The sequence below is a fragment of the Homo sapiens genome, chromosome 3 (assembly GCF_000001405.40).
Source record: "Homo sapiens chromosome 3, GRCh38.p14 Primary Assembly".
NCBI classification, from domain to species: Eukaryota; Metazoa; Chordata; class Mammalia; order Primates; family Hominidae; genus Homo; species Homo sapiens.
The window spans coordinates 133,423,642-133,440,741 of NC_000003.12; the positions used below are offsets into that span (position 1 = coordinate 133,423,642).

The 17,100-nt window shown below is 45.2% G+C and overlaps 1 protein-coding gene and 1 long non-coding RNA gene across 15 annotated transcripts in view, besides 1 other annotated feature; one reads left to right on the forward strand and one right to left on the reverse strand.

Annotated features, from left to right (window-relative positions):
• The window catches only part of BFSP2 (beaded filament structural protein 2), a 75,153-nt gene that overhangs the window by 23,586 nt on the left and 34,467 nt on the right, over positions 1-17,100 (forward strand). The window lies entirely within an intron of this gene.
• Positions 211-260: an enhancer, noted in NCBI's record as "active region_20541". NCBI's record gives its function as "activates an Ori minimal core promoter by ATAC-STARR-seq in GM12878 lymphoblastoid cells {active_cell/tissue: GM12878}" and the evidence as "EXISTENCE:reporter gene assay evidence [ECO:0000049][PMID:35858748]".
• Positions 2,761-17,100, reverse strand: part of BFSP2-AS1 (BFSP2 antisense RNA 1) — a 64,708-nt gene continuing 50,368 nt past the window's right edge. For 4 of the 13 annotated variants that reach the window (NR_189058.1, NR_189055.1, NR_189056.1 and 1 more), the window contains one exon: positions 2,761-3,694. This is a non-coding gene — a long non-coding RNA (BFSP2 antisense RNA 1). Of the gene's footprint in view, positions 3,695-5,644; positions 6,069-13,756; positions 13,855-17,100 lie in introns of those variants that run through there. The other 9 variants (NR_189057.1, NR_189059.1, NR_189064.1 and 6 more) reach the window with 3 other exon arrangements.

Genomic DNA, 17,100 nt, shown 5'->3' on the forward strand with positions numbered 1-17,100 from the left:
GTGGCAGCGATCTCAGAGTGGCCTGCAGGCCAAATCAGATTTGCCAGAGCCCCTTTGAGATAGGGGTGTCCCGGGCTACCGCCTCTGACCTGGTTCTCTTGGCAGGTGGCGCCACCTGCTGGCTGCTCTAGGAACTGTCTTACATACCTAGTCACTCAGCGGCAAAATGTTCTTTGTGTCAAGCCCTGGACTCCTATAATCACCTCCTGACTGCCAAAGCCACCTTGATCCTGGGAAGCCAGTCACGCAATTCATACTGCCCTGCAGTCGTCCGCTTCACGTCAGAATTTCCAGGACAACTCCCAATTTCCTGAGGATTATAAATCAACCATAAAATTTCATTTTCCCCTGAGACTTTGCATATATCGACCAGCTAGTCTGTTTCTATTCTCTTCTGCTTTTTTTTTTTGCGGGGGCGGGGGCGGCGGGGAATGGAGTCTCACTCTGTCACCCAGGCTGGAGTGCAGTGGCTCAATCTCGGCTCACTGCAACCTCCGCCGCCCGGGTTCAAGCGATTCTCCTGCCTCAGAAGTAGCTGGGATTACAGGCGCCTACCACCGCGTCCAGCTAATTTTTTTTTTTTTTTTTTTTTTTTTTTTTGTATTTTTAGTAGAGATGGAGTTTCGCCTTCTTGGTCAGTCTGGTCTCGAACTCCTGACCTCGTGATCCACCCGCCTCGGCCTCCCGAAGTGCTGGGATTACAGGCGTGAGCCACTATGCCCGGCCTTCTCTTCTACTTCTATTCGTGACAGAAGAAACCTCGTTTCTTTCCTTTTTCAGGTGCATTCTGGGTTGCTGTGGAGCTTAGGTCAGACCTTGAGTTTAGAGTCAAAGGTCCTGAGTTCCAGTCTCAGCCCACCAAATACTTTTGCCCAGGTCCCTAATCTCTCCCACCTCCAGCTGCTTTATCTGGAAAAGGAGAGTTATCATTCCACCTGCCATCATGGTCCTGATCCTTTTGTGGGTTTGTTTGTTTTTTGTTTTTGTTTTGATTGTTGTTGTTATTGTTTTTGAGACAGAGTCTCACTCTGTCACCCAGGCTGGAGTGCCTTGGCACAATCTCGGCTCAGTTCAACCTCTGCCTCCTGGATTCAAGCAATTCTCATGCCTCAGCCTCTCAAGTAGCAGGGATTACAGGTGCACAACACCACTCCCCGCTAATTTTTGTATTTTAGTAGAGACAGTGTTTCGCCATGTTGGCCAGGCTGGTCTCAAACTCCTAACCTCAGGTGATCCGCTAGGCTCAGCCTCCCAAAGTGCTGGATTACAGGCGTGAGCCACCATGCCTGGCCTGGTTCTGATCCCTTTGAAATTTAAAGGAGAATGAAATCAGTGGGAAAAGGCTTTGTTAGTGTCACAGATAAGGCTACAACTCCTTAGCCTGTGGGTGTAACTACTGTCACGTGTAAATACAGAATCCTGGGTGACGGTGGCATGCATTGGCCCTGCCTTCTTCCTCACCAGCAGTCTCTCAGTATGACATTGTCATGGTAGCTACTATAAGGCTGGCACAGGTTTCGGTTTTATTATGGTCATTCATGAGATTTTTAATGAGGGCTTACTATGCACCAAGCACTATGGGAGTTCAAATATTAGAGCCAAAATTCTTGGACTCTGGGACCTGGAGGTCTAGAAGGGATGAAGTGTAAACAAATCCACACACTGGTCCATCCCTGTTACATGCCAAGCACTGTGCTGGGCACGTGATGGATGTCAACCGTAGGTCAAACAGGAAGGACTCACGAAGTACAGTTACAAATGCAGCTTTGGTTTGATAGGGCCCTCTCCCAAGATCCCTTTCAACTTGCTCAGTGGGTGGTAGACATTCTTCCCAGCCCCTGGGCGAAAACATGGAGGGTCCCATGATTTTTCTGATCACTTGCAGGAAACTAAAAACATCACACTCGTTTTAAGCCACAAAACAGTATCAACTCAGGAAATAGAATGTCCAGTTGATATATTATTCAACATATCAACCCTCACTTTCTCCCCTGCCCAGGTAGGGCCAAGCACCTAGCAAGGATGCTGAAGTCAGTTCCGTCTCTCTTTCCTGCTATTCTCCTCACTCCCACTTCCCTGTGGCTGTTTCTAGCCCAGTTGAAATCTAAGCAGGACAAAGGGATGGGAAAGGGAAAGGGAAAGGGAAGGGAAGGGAAGGGAAGAAGGGAAGGGAAGGGAAATAAAGAAGGGAAGGGAAATAAAGAAGGGAAAGGAAGGGAAGGGAAGGGAAATAAAGAAGGGAAGGGAAGGCAAGGGAAATAAGAGAAAGGAGGGCAAGGGAAGGCTAGGGAAGGCAAGGGAAGGGAGGGGAGGGGGAGGGGGAGGGGATGGGGGAGGGGAAGGCAGGGCAGGGCAGGGCAGGGAAAGGAAGGGAAGGGAAGGGAAGGGAAGGGAAGGGAAAAAGCTCTTCCTTGTCAGATATTGTTTTAAGTTAGTGTCACAGCATCTGGGTCCGGCTAACATTAAAGTCAGATTCTTTCTCTTGGGGACACTTTTCTGGATTCCTCTTAGACTCCCCTCTTGGAGCATCTGCAGGCACAAGCCCCTTCTTCAGTTGACCGCCTGTGACCCCTCCCCCAAGTTTCTGCCTCTGCAGTATGGCCCACTGGCATCCCCTCACCCTCGCAGGCTGCCCTCCCAAATGCCCCCTGCTGACGTGCCTGTCAAGGGCTCCACACCTCCCAAAGATGGAAGCACCTGTCAGGCATTGTAAGAGGAGTGCAGTGACTTTGCAGTCATCTCAGCTCAGACAACTGAGCATCCCTTTATACATACATCTCTTTTAATCATCTTGAAATCCAGGAAAGAAAGCTCCCTTATCCCTTTTCTACAAATAGACTTTTAGAGAATTACACAATCACTAAGTGACAAAGATGAGGTTTGAGCCCTGTCTCTCCAAGTCAAATCCCACGATATTCCCATGAGTCCTTGCTGTTGGATTCCAAAAAGCAAAGGGTCCACTCTGGGGCCTGGGACAAGCCATCAAACTTCCATCTTGATTCTTCATCTTTCATGATTTCCAAGAGCTCTTCACATTCTAAAACTCTATAATAAAATTTCTGAGTTGAGGAAGCCTAGAAGCACATGGCAGAGAATTCTGCAGAGGCCTCCCTCTTCTGCGTGGGAGGAAGTCCCCACAGCTCAGCTCTTCCTAAGAGCTCTCTGCCCTGACACCCTACGTGATATGGGCATGTGCCTCCAGCAAGTACAGGGCAGAGAGAGAGAAACATCATTTAAGTGGTGCTGGCATTAAGTGGTGATGACATAGCTTCATGTCCAGTACTGAGTGGGAGATGGAAAGCATGCATTTGCTTCCTTTCCAGACAGGCTGGCTCATTTCCCCTGTGCCTCTCATGATGAGAGGATTATGCATGCTGAGTATGATGCTGGTGATTCAAGTGAGGAAGTTTCCAGATACCATGCATGACTCCTGGTTTAAGCCAATTATCTCATCATGGTTCAACCAAAGAAACAACAATTTATTCAAATGCTGGAGAAAACTCCCAGCCATGCTGGTTTTATTGATTCTGGGTCTCCAAGATGGTGCCCTTCTAAAGAATTTCCAAGGATCATTTTGTGCAATTGCAATGTTCTCCTTAGACCTTCGTCACCATTGGTGGGACTTCAGTGCTTAGCAGCTCAAGGAACCCAGCATGTTCTCCGTAGCTGTATCCTCTAGATCCTCACAGCCTCCCTTTAGAATAAGCAGAACAGGTGTCATTACCTCCTTTTTACAGGTAAAGAAACTGAAGCTCAGCAGTGATAAATACGATGTCTGGTGAAAAGCAGAGCCAGGACTTGAACCTTGGTTTCCCAATCCAAGCCTAACACTTTGAGTCCTATACCTTCTTTTTGCTGATGTTCACACAAGATCAAGTGAGCATTTCCCTGCCCTTCCTAATCCTCTACTTACCAGAATCCCACCTCCCTGCTCCTCAGCCAGCTTGGGGTTGGAGAATGGGGTGGCATTTCAGGCAGTGTAAGGTTGAGGATTCTTTCATGATTCTTCCAGTAGGACATCAGACACATCCATCCTGGCAACAACACACTAAACTGTCCATTACGTCCCACTGGAATCAATTGAGGTTATGTTTCTGACAACAGAGAATAGTTTGTTCCCTTCGTTACATTAGCCTGGGCCAAGGGGTAAAGCATATCTATCCCTTTATTGCCCGTAAGTGTCCCTTAGTTCCAGTGGAGATTAAGAAAACTGGAATTTATTGAGCACATACTATATGCCAGAATTTGTTCTGAGGGTTTTGCACATCTTAAATCATTTAACCTCACAAAAACCCTATGAGGCCATTCCTTGTATGATTCCTTTTTATAGATGAGGAAACTGATACACAGCACCAGTTAAATAACTTTTCCAAGATTCACAGGTTGAAGTGATAGAGACAAAACCTTTAACGTGGGTAGTTGGATTCCAGAGTCTGTATGCCCGGGTCCACTCTCGACAGACTAAAGCTCAAAACAGTTTGACCTTGAGGTTTTCCAGGAGGAAAAGCATGAGGCTGAGGAGAACACTTATGTTAGATTGGATTCCTGAGACGCAAAGCCCAAGCCTAGGGTTCTCTTGTGGGCCACGTAGTATGGAAGTGCTCCTGGAGAAACCCGCAAGAGGCAGGGAGGCAGGACACAGAGGGAAGACCAAGCAAGGGAGCCACCTCAGGGCTGCCCCACCCCCAAGCCAGGGCGCTGGGCTTTCATGCCCCCAGCTGTCAGACAGAGCCAGTAAGTCAAGCTCTGGGGCCCTAGGGCACTGCTCCACAAATGAGCCACAGGGCCCAGCTGTGGGGAGTGAATGCACATGGAACGTGGGGACACAAAAAAATAGTTCCAAAAAAAAAAAGAGGATGGGTCAGAGCAGTGACAGTACCTGCTGCAGCAGCCACGCCTGGGATAGGAAAGGAGCACCTGTGATCTGCCGTAAGCCTCAACAGGTCCCACGCGAATTTCTGAGGAACTTAGATTCCTCTGATGTTGGCAAGTGCCCAGGAAATATCTTGTCAGAGGAAAGTCGGGGATAACTGTCTGTGCAGGGCCACCTTCGGGTAAACACGCAGGGCCTGTTGGAGAGCCACCTGGGTGACTGGGACTGCGTCCACATGACCTCTGCAGTCACCCCGCCCACTGTTCCCTAAGGCCACACTTCCATACCGCCTGCCCTCGCTCTGACCTGCCTTCTCCATCAAACTTGTCCCAGCCAGTCTCTCCCTGTGTCTGTCAGGGTCCCAAGATGTATCAGCCACTGTGCTAGTTTTCTTTTCCAAGTTGATTTTATTTATGCGATCGATCTCATTCTGTTCTTAATTATGAAATATTTTTAACACATAAAAAGCCACCTAATACTCAGCATTGTCAACTCAGTGTTATTTGTTAAAAAACCTTTTTTTAAAACCTGAAATCAAAGATTTTAGATATAATTGAAACTCCCCTTGTACTCTGTCCTGATTGAATTCCACCCCCACCCCCCCAGAGGTCACTGCTGCCCTAAATTTGGTGCTTACCACTCCCATGAAAGTTTTACTACATATGTATAAAACCTTTCCTAGGACTATTTTGCATTATTTTAAACTTTATGTTAAATTGTGTTATACTGTGTATTAGTCAGGGTTCTCCAGGGAAACATAACCATAGAATGTGTACAGAGAGAGATTTATTTTAGGGAATTGGCTCACACAGTTATGGAGGCTAGAAGTCCAAGATCAAAGTGTCAGCAGGTTGGGAGGCCCAGTGAAGAGGTGACACTGCAGTTCAAGGCTGAAGGCTGTCTGCTGGTGGAATCCTATTTTCTCAGGGGACCTCAGTCTTTGCTCTGTTAAATCCCGCAACTGATTGGATGAGAATACCCACATTATGGCACGCAGGCAACCTGCTTTACTCAAAGTCCACCAATGTCAATGTTAGTCTCATCCAAAAACACCTTCACGGAAACATCTAGATTGTTTGACCATCACATATTATTTCCATCTGCAACTTACTTTCTTCACTTATTGTGTTTTTGAGATTTATCTGTGTTGACAAATCTATCATTTCATTGTATATGAGGGGACTTCAAAATGTTCCTGGAAAAAAAATGGAATTAAGAGATAAAAATACAAAATGTAAACTTTTTTTTTTTTTATTATACTTTAAGTTTTAGGGTACATGTGCACAATGTGCAGGTTAGTTACATATGTATACATGTGCCATGTTGGTGTGCTGCACCCATTAACTCGTCATTTAGCATTAGGTATATCTCCTAATGCTATCCCTCCCCACTACCCCCACCCCACAACAGTCCCCGGTGCGTGATGTTCCCCTTCCTGTGTCCATGTGTTCTCATTGTTCAATTCCCACCTATGAGTGAGAACATGCGGTGTTTGGTTTTTTGTCCTTGTGATAGTTTGCTGAGAATGATGGTTTCCAGTTTCATCCATGTCCCTACAAAGGACATGAACTCATCCTTTTTTATGGCTGCATAGTATTCCATAGTGTATATGTGCCACATTTTCTTAATCCAGTCTATCATTGTTGGACATTTGGGTTGGTTCCAAGTCTTTGCTATTGTGAATAGTGCCGTAATAAACATACGTGTGCATGTGTCTTTATAGCAGCATGATTTATAATCCTTTGGGTATATACCCAGTAACGGGATGGCTGGGTCAAATGGTATTTCTAGTTCTAGATCCCTGAGGAATCGCCACACTGACTTCCACAACGGTTGAACTAGTTTACAGTCCCACCAACAGTGTAAAAGTGTTCCTATTTCTCCACATCCTCTCCAGCACCTGTTGTTTCCTGACTTTTTAATGATCGCCATTCTAACTGGTGTGAGATGGTATCTCATTGTGGTTTTGATTTGCATTTCTCTGATTTTCTTCTGCAATGCCGCTTGACCCCAATACATACTCGACAGTAGTTCCAAATAGCCAGAAAACGGCACTTTCAATTTTTCCACCCTACAAGATCTAAATAATTCTTGTCATAAAATGGGCAAATGGTCTGAGGTGCCTGACGTCCAGGCATTCTTTTACGCATCGGTCCCTCTCTAGTCTCTGTTCCCAATGCAACTCATCCCAAATCTTCCTTCTTTCCCTCCCGCCTGTCCCCTCAGTCCCAACCCCAAGCGTCGCTGAGTCTTTCTAATCTTCCTTTTCTACAGACCCATCTGACCTCTCCCCTCCTCACCAGGCCGAGCTAGGTCCCAATTCTTCCTCAGCCTCCGCTCCTCCACCCTGGTCCGCTCCTTTTATCACCTCCCCTCCTCACACCTGGTCCGGCTTATGGTTTCATTCCGTGACTAGCCCTCCCCCACCTGCCCAGCAATTTACTCTTAAAAAGGTGGCTGGAGCTGAAGGCATAGTCAAGGTTAATGCTCCTTTTTCTTTACCCCAAATCAGATAGCGTTTAGGCTCTTTTTCATCAAATATAAAAAACCCAGCCCAGTTCATGGTTCGTTCGGCAGCAACCCTGAGACGCTTTACAGCCCTAGACCCTAAAAGGTCAAAAGGCCGTCTTATTCTCAATATACATTTTATTACCCAATCTGCTCCTGACATTAAATAAAACTCCAAAAATTAAATTCCGGCCCTCAAACCCCACAACAGGATTTAATTAACCTCGCCTTCCAGGTGTACAATAATAGAAAAAAGTTGCAATTCCTTGCCTCCACTCTGAGACAAATCCCAGCCACATCTCCAGCACACAAGAACTTCCAAACACCTGAACCGCAGCAGCCAGGCGTTCCTCCAGAACCTCCTCCCCCAGGAGCTTGCTTCAAGTGCCAGAAATCTGACCACCAGGCCAAGGAATGCCCGCAGCCCAGGATTCCTCCTAAGCCGTGTCCCATCTGTGCGGGACCCCACTGGAAATCGGACTGTTCAACTCACCTGGCAGCCACTCCCAGAGCCCCTGGAACTCTGGCCCGAGGCTCTCTGACTGACTCCTTCTTGGCTTAGCGGCTGAAGACTGATGCTGCCCGATCGCCTCAGAAGCCCCGCAGACCATCACGGACGCCGAGCTTTAGGTAACTCTCACAGCGGAGGGTAAGTCCATCCCCTTCTTATCAATACGAGGCTACCCACTCCACATTACCTTCTTTTCAAGGGTCTATTTCCCTTGCCTCCATAACTGTTGTGGGTATTGACAGCCAGGCTTCTAAACCTCTTAAAACTCCCCAACTCTGGTGCCAACTTAGACAATACCCTTTTAAGCACTCCTTTTTAGTTATCCCCACCTGCCCCGTTCCCTTATTAGGCCGAGACACTTTAAATTATCTGCTTCCCTGACTATTCCTGGATTACAGCCGCATCTCATTGCCGCCCTTCTCCCCAACCCAAAGCCTCCTTTGCGTCTTCCTCTCATATCCCCCCACCTTAACCCACAAGTATGGAACATCTCTACTCCTTCCCTGGCAACCGATCACATGCCCATCACCATCCCATTAAAACCTAATCACCCTTACCCCTCTCAACGCCAATGTCCCATCCCACAGCACGCTTTAAAGGGATTAAAGCCTGTTATCACTCGCCTGCTACAGCATGGGCTTCTAAAACCTATAAACTCTCCTTACAATTCCCCCATTTTACCTGTCCAAAAACCGCACAAGTCTTACAGATTAGTTCAGGATCTGCGCCTTATCAACCAAATTGTTTTGCCTATCCGCCCTGTGGTGCCCAACCGGTACACCCTTTCGTCCTCAATACCTTCCTCCACAACTCACTATTCCGTTCTTGATCTTAAAGATGCTTTTTTCACTATTCCCCTGCACCCCTCGTCCCAGCCTCTCTCTGCTTTCACCTGGACTGACGCTGACACCCATCAGTCCCAGCAGCTTACCTGGGCTGTGCTGCCACAAGGTTTCAGGGACAGCTCTCATTACTTCAGCCAAGCTCTTTCTCATGATTTACTTTCTTTCCACCCCTCTGCTTCTCACCTTATTCAATATATTGATGATCTTCTTCTTTGTAGCCCCTCCTTTGAATCTTCTCAACAAGACACACCTCTGCTCCTTCAGCATTTATTCTCCAAAGGATATCGAGTATCCCCCTCCAAAGCTCAAATTTCTTCTCCATCGGTTACCTACCTCGGCATAATTCTTCATAAAAACACACGTGCTCTCCCTGCCGATCGTGTCCGACTAATCTCTCAAACCCCAGCACCTTCTACAAAACAACAACTCCTTTCCTTCCTAGGCATGGTTAGCGCGGTCAGAATTCTTACACAAGAGCCAGGACCACATCCTGCAGCCTTTCTGTCCAAACAACTTGACCTTACTGTTTTAGCCTAGCCCTCATGTCCGCGTGCAGCGGCTGCCGCTGCTTTAATACTTTTAGAGGCCCTCAAAATCACAAACTATGCTCAACTCACTCTCTACATTTCTCATAACTTCCAAAATCGATTTTCTTCCTCATACCTGACACATATACTTTCTGCTCCCCGGCACCTTCAGCTGTACTCACTCTTTGTTAAGTCCCACAATTACTATTGTTCCTGGCCAGGACTTCAATCTGGCCTCCCACATTATTCCTGATACCACACCTGACCCCCATGACTGTATCTCTCTGATCCACCTGACATTCATCCCATTTCCCCATATTTGCTTCTTTCCTGTTCCTCACCCTGATCACACTTAGTTTTTTGATGGCAGTTCCACCAGGCCTAATCGCCACACACCAGCAAAGGCAGGCTATGCTATAGTACAAGCCACTAGCCTGCCTCTTAAGAACCTCTCATTTCCTTTCCATTGTGGAAATCTATCCTCAAGGAAATAACTTCTCAGTGTTCCATCTGCTGTTCTACTACTCATCAGGGATTATTCAGGCCCCCTCCCTTTCCTACACATCAAGCTCGAGGATTTGCCCCCACCCAGGACTGGCAAATTAGCTTTACTCAAAGCCCCGAGTCAGATAACTAAACTACCTCTTAGTCTAGGTAGACACTTTCACTGGATAGGTAGAGTCCTTTCCTACAGGGTCTGAGAAGGCCACCGCAGTCATTTCTTCCCTTCTGTCAGACATAATTCCTCAGTTTAGCCTTCCCACCTCTATACATTCTGATAACAGACCAGCCTTTATTAGTCAAATCAGCCAAGCATTTTTTCAGGCTCTTAGTATTCAGTGACAGACTAGCGGTCTATTAAAAACACACCTCACCAAGCTCAGCCAGCAACTTAAAAAGGACTGAACAATACTTTTACCACTTTCGCTTCTCAGAATTCAGGCCTGTCCTCGGAATGCTACAAGGTACAGCCCATTTAAGCTCCCGTATAGACGCTCCTTTTTATTAGGCCCCAGTCTCTTTCCAGACACCAGACCAACTTAGACTGTGCCCCAAAAAACTTGTCATCCCTATCTTCTGTCTAATCATACTCCTATTCACCGTTCTCAACTACTCATACATGCCCTGCTCTTGTTTACACTGCCAGTTTACACTGTTTCTCCAAGCCATCACAGCTGATATCTCTTGGTGCTATTCCCAAACCGCCACTCTAAACTCTTGAAGTAAATAAATAATTTTTGCTGGCAGGACTATGCTGAATCTCCTTAGGCACTCACTAATCAGATGTCCTAGGTCCTGCCAATTCTTAGACCTTTTATACCTGTTTTTCTCCTTCTCTTATTCCATTTAGTTTTTCAATTCATACAAAACCGTATCCAGGCCATCACCAATAATTCTACACGACAAATGTTTCTTCTAACATCCCCACAATATCACCCCTTACCACAAAAATCTTCCTTCAGCTTAATCTCTCCCACTCTAGGTTCCCACGCAGCCCCTAATCCCGCTCGAAGCAGCCCTGAGAAACATCGCCCATTCTCTCTCTCCATACCACCCCCCAAAAATTTTCGCCGCCCCAACACTTCAACACCATTTTATTTTTCTTATTAATATAAGAAGGCAGGAATGTCAGGCCTCTGAGCCCAAGCCAAGCCATCGCAACCCCTGTGACTTGCATGTATATGCCCAGATGGCCTGAAGTAACTGAAGAATCACAAAAGAAGTGAATATGCCCTGCCCCACCTTAACTGATGATATTCCACCACAAAACAAGTGTAAATGGCCGGTCCTTGCCTTAAGTGATGACATTACCTTGTGAAAGTCCTTTTCCTGGCTCATCCTGGCTCAAAAAGCTACCCCACTGAGCACCTTGTGACCCCCACTCCTGCCCACCAGAGAACAAACCCCCTTTGACTGTAATTTTCCTTTACCTGCCCAAATCTTATAAAACGGCCCCACCCCTATCTCCCTTCGCTGACTCTTTTCGGACTCAGCCCACCTGCACCCAGGTGAAATAAACAGCTCCATCAAGTTCAAGACACTTTTGTAAGCAATGATAGCAGCCATTTAGTTCATCCCTAAAGAACTGAGGGCCTTGGGAATTTAGCAATGTTAGTGCAGTCTTTTCACATTATTAACTGAAGAAAAATGAGTGCCCTTTAAAGATTTTTTAAGATTAGGAAACAAAAAGAAGCCAGAAGGAGCCAAATCAGGACTGTAAGGTGGACGCCTAATGATTTTCTACTGAAACTCTTGCAAAATTGCCATTATTCAATAAGAGGAATGGGCAGAAGCATTTGTCATGATGGAGGACTCTCTAGTGAAGCTTTCTCAGGTGTTTTTCTGCTAATGCTTTAGCTAACTCTCAAAACACTCTTATAATAAGCAGATGTTGTCATTTTTTGCCCTCCAGAAAGTCAACAAGCAAAATGCCCTGAGCATCACAAACTGTTGCCATGACCTTTGCTCTTGACCTGTCTCTCTTTGCTATGACCGGACCCCTTCCATCATTTGCTAGCCATTTCTTTGATTGTGCTTTGTCTTCAGGATTGTACTGGTAAAGCTATGTTTCATCTCTTGTTACAATTCCTTGAAGAAATGCTTCAGAATCTTGGTCTCACATGTTTAAAATTTCCATTGAAAACTCTGCTCTTGTCTGCGGCTGAGCTGGGCAAAACAGTGTTGGCACCCATTAAGTGGAAAGTTCGCTTAACTTTAATTTTTCGGTCAGAATTGTGTAAGCTGAACCAATGGATATGTTTATGGTGTCAGCTATTCTTTCTGCGATCAATAATTGGTCCTCTTCAATTAGGGCATGTACAAGATGAATTTTTCCCTTGCAAATTGTCTGCTGCTATGGCCTTCGTCTTCAACATCATTTTATTCTTTCTTAAATGAATTATCCATTTGTAAACTGCTGATTTCTTTAGGGCATTGTCCCCATAAACTTTTCATAAAGCTCCCATGATTTCATTATTTTTCTACTCAAGCTTCACCACAAATTTGATGTTTTCTCTTGCTTTAATTTTTTCTGAATTCATGTTGCTATGATAGGGGCTCTTTCCAAACTGATGTCTTATACTTCTTAGTGCCTCTTATATCTGATTCTGAACTATTCTGTTCAGATATAAGAACTTAGTATGAGTTTATTTTGGTGCAAAAAAATTTGAAATTTAGGCTGGGCACGATGGCTTATGTCTGTAATCTCAGCACTTTTGGAGGCCGAGGCAGGTGGATCACTTGAGGCCATTGCTACTAAAAATACAAAAAATTAGCTGAGTGCAGTGTCGTGTGCCTGTAGTCCCAGCTACTGGGTAGACTGAGGCACAAGAATACCTTGAACCCAGGAGGTGGAGCTTGCAGTGAGCCAAGTTCTCTTTGCTGCACTCCAGCCAGGGTGACAGAGAGAGACTCTGTCTCAAAAAAAAAAAAAAAAAAAAATCTATGTATTGTTTTTTCATAATACACATTTTTTTCCATGAATTTATTGAAGGTTCCTTGTCTATATGATAGGTTATGACTTTTTCTGTTGATAGGCATAGGTTGCTTCCAATTTTTCTATCACAAACAAGAGAGAGCATAAGCTCTCTCTAGTGAGGAACTGCCATGGCATAATACATAACAAGTGCTTAAAAAGCATTTGGGTTTGACTTGTTTGGCTTACTATGCACCTGGTACTGTCAAGACAAAGCAGCTCAATTTTATTTTTTATTATTATACTTTAAGTTCTAGGGTACCTGTGCACAACGTGCAGGTTTGTTACATATGTACACATGTGCCATGTTGGTGTGCTGCACCCATTAACTTGTCATTTACATTAGGTATATCTCCTAATGCTATCCCTCCCCGCTTCCCCCACCCCACTACAGGCCCTGGTGTGTGATGTTCCCCATCCTGTGTCCAAGTGTCCTCATTGTTCAGTTACCACCTATGAGTGAGAACATGTGGTGTTTGGTTTTCTGTCCTTGCAATAGTTTGCTGAGAATGATGGTTTCCAGTTTCATCCATGTCCCTACAAAGGACATGAACTCATCCTTTTTTATGGCTGCATAGTATTCCATAGTGTATATGTGCCACATTTTCTTAATCCAGTCTATCATTGTTGGACATTTGGGTTGGTTCCAAGTCTTTGCTATTGTGAATAGTGCCACAATAAACATACGTGTGCATGTGTCTTTATAGCAGCATGATTTATAATCCTTTGGGTATATATCCAGTAATGGGATGGCTGGGTCAAATGGTATTTCTAGTTCTAGATCCTTGAGGAATTGCCACACTGTCTTCCACAATGGTTGAACTAGGCAAAGCAGCTCAATTTTATAAGAAAAGGAACTGAGGGCTGGGCACAGTGGTTCACACCTGTAATCCCAGCACTTTGGGAGGCCAAGGAGGCAGATCACCTGAGGTTGGAAGTTCGAGACCAGCCTGACCGACATGGAGAAACCCTGTCTCTACTAAAAATACAAAATTAGCCGGGCATGGTGGCACATACCTGTAATCCCAGCTACCCAGGAGGCTGAGGCAGGAGAATTGCTTGAACCCAGGAGGTGGAGGTTGCGGCGAGCCGAGATCACGCCATTGCACTCCAGCCTGGGCAACAAGAGCGAAACTCAGTCTCAAAAAACAAAACAAACAAACAAAAACCAAAAAAATGAAAACAAACGAAAGGAAGGAAAGAAGGAAGGAAGGAAGGAGAAGAAAGAAAAAAGAAAGAAGAAAGAGAAAAAGAAAGAAGAGAGAGAGAAAGGAAGAAAGAAAGAAAGAAAGAAAAAGAAAGAAAAAGGAACTGAGCTATTTAACATTAGAACCATGATTCAAACATGGGGGTAATGGAAGATGGCTGAGCATGGGTTTTACAGGCCTGCCCTGGAGAGGGAGCACCGTGAAAAATAATCAAATAGCTGGCATTATTCTGCAGGCCTGAGAATGCTCAGTGGGGAAGCAAAACAATGATTTGGCTACCCGCCCATAGCTTCTGACAGCCAGGGGCACCTACATCGTAATTCTTAGCAGAAAGGACCTATATTTCACAGAAGCATCAGCAGAGTAGCATAGTAATTAAACTGATTTTTTGTCTTCCGTTTTGACCTTAGAAAATAAAACATCTGAGATTATAAGAGAGAAAGTGTGAGTATGAGGAGGAAACTGTCTATAGTTGATACAAGAAATAGAGTTCTATTATTTAAAGTGATCAAAACAGCCAGTAAAGGGAAAGGGAGGTGGAGGGTGAGTAAGTTAAATATTCATTTGTCAGCTAGAAGTCAGTAAACGATGTCTGTGGCAGATAACTTGAGCAATCAAGAAATATGTGGGCAGGCTCTGGATGAAAGAAACAGTAAGGCCAGGCACGGTGGCTCATGCCTTTAATCCCAGCACTTTGGGAGGCCAAGGCAGGCGGATCACCTGAGGTTGGGAGTTCGAGACCAGCCTGGCCAACATGGTGAAACCCCATCTCTACTAAAAATACAAAATTACAAAAATTAGCTGGGTGTGGTGGCACATGCCTTTAATCCCAGCTACTCAGGAGGCTGAGGCAGGAGAATCTCTGGAACCTGGGAGGCAGAGGTTGCAGTGAGCTGAGATCACACCACTGCACTCCAGCCTGGGTGGCAGAGTGGGACTCCATCTCAGAAACAAAACAAAAAAAGAAAAAAGAAAAGGTGAAAGTGCTGACAGCAGGGTGCGGGGAGAGGAAAGTGTGGGTCAGGGAAATGTTGGTCTCTAGAAGGTCTTCAGTGCTGTTTAACTTTTTAAATCAGGTGATAATTAAATTATCACTTGAATAATTTTAAAATTAAAATAGAAGAACTACAAAATAGAGCAAGGACTACTGAAATATTTACAGATTTTCCAAGTGATATATGCATAATAGCCTCCCAGATGGGGTGGAAGCTGGTAGGTAGAGATTGTAAAATTTAGCCATGATACTTCAATTGCTGAAGTGGAGGGATGGGGGGGTCATTATTCTAGACTCTTTCTACCTTTATATATAGTTATACATAGTTGAAATTTCCCATAGTTAAAAGGATATTTTTTAAAACAAGCACAGTCTGTGAGGTCAGACAGGTGTGAGTTAAGTTCTAGCTGAGCCACTTAGCAATGTGGGCAAGTTACTTAAACTCTCTGAGACTGAGTTTCCTCATCACATAATGGAAGTAACTGCTGTTCACCCACTTAGTGTGACCACTTACTTCAGATGTAGGGATGAAATGAGATTATGCCTGTGAAGGGCTGACTGTGGCATAAGTGTAGTAAGTGCTTTAAAAAATATTTTGGTTTGGTCTGTTTTGTTGCTTCTATGCGGGGTTTTTATAAAGAAGGTTTGGCTGTAAAATGTGAATTCTGCTTCTCAGGCATCTTATATTTGTTCTGTACCTCTATTTTCTGCCTTATGTGTTTGCTGTTGTTTAGTGTTATATTTCTCTCCTCAGCTAGCTTGCTTAGTCTATTCTGTTAACAAACATTTATTGAGCACCTATGTGCCAGGCACTGAACTGGGTGCTAAGGAAGCAGAGATGAGAGACTGTCCCTGATCCAAGGTCACACAAATCAGTGATGGAGAAAGGCAGGAAAAGATCAGAATAACATGCAGCATAAAAACTGCAGAGATTGATATACCACAGTGAGTATGGGGAGTACTGAGGATACCTAGCACAGCCTGAGCCAGGGTTTGAAGGATGGATAGGAGTTCACCAGACAAAGGAAAGTAGGAGGCAGTCTGCCATGACATGCCGAGGTAGCAGCAGGAGTCAAGGTCTGGAAGCTAGAAAGGCCTGAGTCTGTTCAGAAAAGTAACTCAGTTCATGGTTGGGGAGTGAGGGAAAAATAAAACTAGACTGAAGAGCAAGGTCCAAATTGTGCCCCAGGCTACAGACTTCATAGGACAAGGGGACATGGGAAGGTTCATTCCGGAGCACAGCTTCAAATAAAACATGAGTTCAAAACATGAGTTCCAATCTGCATCTGAGTAAGTTCATTCCAGTAGAAAGGGAGAGGGTGAGAGGTTAGAAAGCAGAGACAGACAGAGAGAGAGAGAGAGAAAGCAATGTCACAGAGGGAGTATAAGTCCATTTTCCTACTGCTGTGAAGAAATACCTGAGACTGGGTAATTCATAAAGAAAAAAGGTTTAATGAACCCACAGTTCCCCACGGCTGGGGAGGCCTCACAATCATGGCAGAAGGCAAAGGAGGAGCAAAGGCACATCTTACATGGTGGCAGGCAAGAGACCATGTGCAGGGGAACTTCCCTTTATAAAGCCATCAGATTGTGTGAGACTTACTATCTTACTATCATGAGAATAGCACGGGAAAACCTACCCCCATGATTCAATGATTCAATTATCTCCCACCAGGTCCCTCCCACAACACGTGGGGATTATGGGAGCTACAATTCAAGATGAGATTTGGGTGGGGATACAACCAACCATATCAGCAGGAGATGCTGGCTGTCTAAATAGATCCCCGTCAGAATCACTGTATCTGGATGTGCCTGGGGCTCAAAATTTGATTTTGTTGGGGCATCTGGAGAAAATTAAGCCCTAAAGGGCTGTCTCACAACAAACTCATCTGACATAAACAACCAGGACTGTGTTATAAATGGTAGGGTTTAAACCCTATATATGGTAGGGGTTAAACCTCTTTAGTGACCAGCACTGATGCCTACTATCCAAAGCAAGCCCTCGTATTTCTGAGGTTGCTGGAGGTGGAAGTCTAGGTGGGCCCAGAATCAGAACTTGGGGGGACAGAGAGGCTTCCAGGGAAAGAGGAGCCTAAAACACTTTGTCCTCAGCATGACAGACTTCTAGGGGCCAAGGTGATCCTGTTTGCCCAACAATG